Source organism: Homo sapiens, chromosome 16 (assembly GCF_000001405.40).
Source record: "Homo sapiens chromosome 16, GRCh38.p14 Primary Assembly".
Lineage (NCBI taxonomy): Eukaryota > Metazoa > Chordata > Mammalia > Primates > Hominidae > Homo > Homo sapiens.
Genome location: NC_000016.10, coordinates 25,231,757 through 25,236,000, shown reverse-complemented (window position 1 = coordinate 25,236,000; position 4,244 = coordinate 25,231,757). Strand labels below are relative to the sequence as shown.

General features: G+C 45.7%; 1 annotated feature.

Annotated features, from left to right (window-relative positions):
* Positions 2,035-2,154: an enhancer, noted in NCBI's record as "active region_10606". NCBI's record gives its function as "activates an Ori minimal core promoter by ATAC-STARR-seq in GM12878 lymphoblastoid cells {active_cell/tissue: GM12878}" and the evidence as "EXISTENCE:reporter gene assay evidence [ECO:0000049][PMID:35858748]".

Here is a 4,244-nt window from a genome sequence, read left to right as displayed (position 1 = left end):
TTTGAAGGGCGTCATTCTATTAAGAGAAAATATAATGTACCAAGAAGTTGATAAAAGCTGATCTTACCAGCCAATGAAAAGAATTCCAGTCTCATTCTAGTTCAGTGTTGTCCCCCACAAGTAGCAGGGGTCTTTTGTGAGTCCACAGCTGTGTGCAGCCGTCCTCTGGTGGTTGTCCCTGCCATTGTCCCAGTAATGGTCATCTCCAGTGCTAGGAGGGAATTAGCCTTGGATACACGTGCTGCCTGTGTTTCTGAGGCACTCCCCCATAGCCTAATGGTGGAAGAAGTCTTAAAAGTTTCTTCGAAGATACAGTAACAGGAGAGACAAAACTTTACTCTTTTAGGGTCTCAGGCTAGGCCTGAGGATTAAAGTAACACAAAACAGATAAACAAGAGAAAAGCATACATGGGAGTCTCCACAAGAAATGAAGACCCGGCCAGGCGCCGTGGGTCATGCCTGTAATCCCAGCATTTTGGGAGGCCGAGGCGGGTGGATCACGAGGTCAGGAGATCGAGACCATCCTGGCTAACATGGTGAAACCCCGTCTCTACTAAAAATACAAAAAAATTTAGCCAGGCGTAGTGGCAGGCGCCTGTAGTCCCAGCTACTCCGGAGGCTAAGGCAGGAGAATGGCGTGAACCGAGGAGGCGGAGCTTGCAGTGAGCTGAGATCACGCCACTGTGCTCCAGCCTGGGTGACAGAGCGAGACTCCATCTCAAAAAAAAAGAAAAGAAAAGAAATGAAGACCCAAAGAAGTAGCAAAACCTAACTGTATTATGGATTGAACAAAGAGTCAGTTGTGAAAAAGTACCTAAAATATATGGGAAGACCAAAGGAAGATAAGGATTATTTTAACAAGGTCTGTACAGATTCCCTCGGCCTTGCCTCCCCATCTTGTGATAAGAACGTTTCTTTCTTCCCAGGACAGGGAGGGCATCTTTCACTTGGGGGTTCAACTCCTGCTTTCAGGGAGTAAAAGAGGAGTGAGAGTGCCCTGTGGCACCTGCTGTTTCTCAAGTGCCTTTAACTCAAGATAATCATTATTCCCAAAAGTGGCACATATGGGGGTGGCATCTTCTGTCATCCTTGAGCGTTGCTTTTGATTGAAAATTTTGGCATACAGGAAGTGTTCCAGTGGCTTCCACTTAGTTCTTCCTACCATAACTCCAGCTCCATGGGTTGTAAAGGCAGGGTAGAGATTTTAGCACTTGCTGAGGCACTATTTCCAACTACACCATCAGGAACTGTAGAGAGAACTATAGGATGCGTTCCAAGAGCCAGTCCACCTAAACATGAGGTCGATTCCAGACAAAGTATCTGTCACATGGACTTGATAAGCCTCTGCTCTATGCAGCGTGCTTCAATGGGACCCAGAGACCTCAGGAGGTGTAGCTGCTCAGAGCCAGTGTCTGCAGAGTATCCATAACTAGAAGAGTCCCCCTGTATTTTCCTTGAGTAAATGGCCACAAACCTTTTTGGTGAAAGCCAAGATAAAAGCTCATTATCTTCACAGGCCGAATTCCATCAGGGTTCTTCCGCAGGGTTACCGGACCTCCCATTCCTTCACAGAGACTTAAGTCTGTGAACTCACTCAGGTCTGGGAATTGGATGAGAGACTTTAAGTCTCTGAGGGGAAAAAAAATCTCTAAGGATTACAAATTTTCAATTCCTAAAAATCAGTTGAGGCAATTAGACATTAAGGGAGGAGAATGAATGCTTTGTGTTCCAAGCACTAAAAGGAGCATTGCTCATCATAACCCCCAAACTTTATGATGAGTCCAGGGACTTGGAGGGGGAACAGTGGCTTTGGGTTCCAAGACAAGTAAATATCTTACTCACTCTGAGGTGGTCGGACTCTGGAGGGAAAATGATGTTGACGGTGGTGGTGGGTATAGGGCTCTAGGTAGGCCAAGGGGAGAGGAGGTACCTGAAAGGCCATAAGCCTTGCTTGGATACATGTGCAGAGTCCATGGCGCATGCAAGTGTGCTTGGCATGGAAGTTGTGGAATTATCAGTAAAGGAGCCCTCTTTGAAGACACCAATGTGACTTGGCTATAGCATACAGCATCTCTGAGAACCTCTTCCAACAGCGGCACCATGTGGCAGCGGAGAGAACAGCAGCTGCGGCACGAAGTAAAATTTTCCCTACGACATCATGCAAGGTGTTATGTTTCGTTTTGTTTTGTTTTGTTTTGTTGTCTGAGATGGAGTCTCACTCTGTCACCCAGGCTGGAGTGCAATGGCGCCATCTTGGCTCACTGCAACCTCCGCCTTCCAAGTTCAAGAGATTCTCCCGCCTCAGCCTCCCAAGTAGCTGGAATTACAGGCGTGCGCCACCTCATCTGGCTAACTTTTGTATTTTTAGTAGAGAAGGGGTTTCACCCTGTTGGCCAGGCTGGTCTTGAACTCCTAACCTCAGGTGATCCACCCACCTCGGCGTCCCAAAGTGCTGGGATTACAGGTGTGAGCCACCGCGTCCAGCCCATGCAAGTATTAATAAAAGATTGGTACACTTCCCTTTTGGCTTGCTTAAACCCCCAGGGTTCTTGGAAAATATAATCCTAGTAGGGATACTAGGATTCCCAACAACATGGCATGTGAGGACCTCAACACAATTCTGGCAAAAGGAAATGGCTCGGTACTTGTACCCCAAGGGTCTGGAGAATTAAGTACACACATGTTGCAATAGAAAGGGCACTAGATGTGTGTCCAAGATCGTGGATTCTAATTGAGCTCTGCTGCTAGACAACTCTGTAATTAAGTCAAATTATTTAGCTTCTCTGGGTTTTGAAATTTGACGTTGGACGGGATGAAGAGGTTCCAACCTTTTTCACTTGGGAGGCCCTAATAGTCCCTATATGAGAATACTTGACTGAGAAAATACATATGTCCCAAGTCCATTTAGAAGTTACTTGCCAAGGCTGGTAATCACGCCTGTAATCCCAACACTTTGGGAGGCCAAGGTGGGAGGACACTTGAAGACAGGAGTTCAAGACCAGCCTGGGCAACACAGTGAGACCCCATCTCTACAAAAAAATTTTTTTTTAATTAGCCACTGTGGTGATGTACACCTGTAGTCCCGGCTACTCAGGAGTCTGAGGTTCGAGGATCGCTTGAGCCCAGGAGGTCGAGGCTGCAGCATGCTGTGATTGCACCACTGCACTCCATCCTGGATGACAGAACGAAATGCTGTCTCCAAAAAAAAAAAAAAAAAAAGAAGAAGAAGTTCCTTGCCAAACCCCACCTTATTCTTATTCTGATACCTGCAAATTGCAAAACCTTTGATAATAAATATAAGAGCTAACACATTGTGTACTTACTATATACTGGGCATTGTGCTAATGCTTTATAAACATATTGTCATAAGCAGTCTGAGGTAGTAGTTGCATTTTATAGATGAGAAAGCTGAGGCTAAAGAATTTCAATAGCTTCTTCAAGCACATACAGCAAAAAGGTGACAGTTCTGAAATTAAAACTTGGATCTTCCTCAGGATGTAAACTTACAGCCACCATATTTTACTACTGTAATAGAGTTTCTAGCTCTAACACCCCAAAATTCTGTGACTTCCTTGTTACTGAGGAAAAGGGAGCTGGGATAGAGATGAACCTGGTGATCTGGATCAGTTTTGGATTCCACTCTGTAGGGTCAGAATGAATTTGGGAATCACTGGGATCAGCCTATGCCATTCTTCCAGTCAGTGAGTACTGAGTCCCTTCTGGCCAGGCACGGTGGCTCACACTTGTAATCCCAGCACTTTGGGAGGCCGAGGTGGGCCGATCACTTGAGGTCAGTAGTTCAAGACCAGCCTGGCCAACATGAGGCAGGAGAATCGCTTGAGCCCGGGAGGCGGAGGTTACGGTGAGCCAAGATCACACCGCTGCACTCCAGCCTGCGCGGCAGAGCAAGACTCCGTTTAAAAAAAAAAAAAAAAGAAAAGAACTGAGTCCCTTCTATTCAGCAAATGCCAAACACATAATGTACAGTTATTTAATACAAATATGAATTTATATCCATCTTGCTCTTGAGAGCTTATGGTCTAGAAATTGAAATGAAAGCCACAACTTAAAATCCAATTGCAAGTTTGAAATGAGGAGTTAACAATGAATGTCTTTCTGTCCTCCTTTTTTTTTTTTTTTTCCAGACAGAGTCTTGCTCTGTCACCCAGGCCGGAGTGCAATGATATAATCACAGCTTGCTGCAGCCTCGATCTCCCAAGCTCAAGCGATCCTCCCATGTCAGC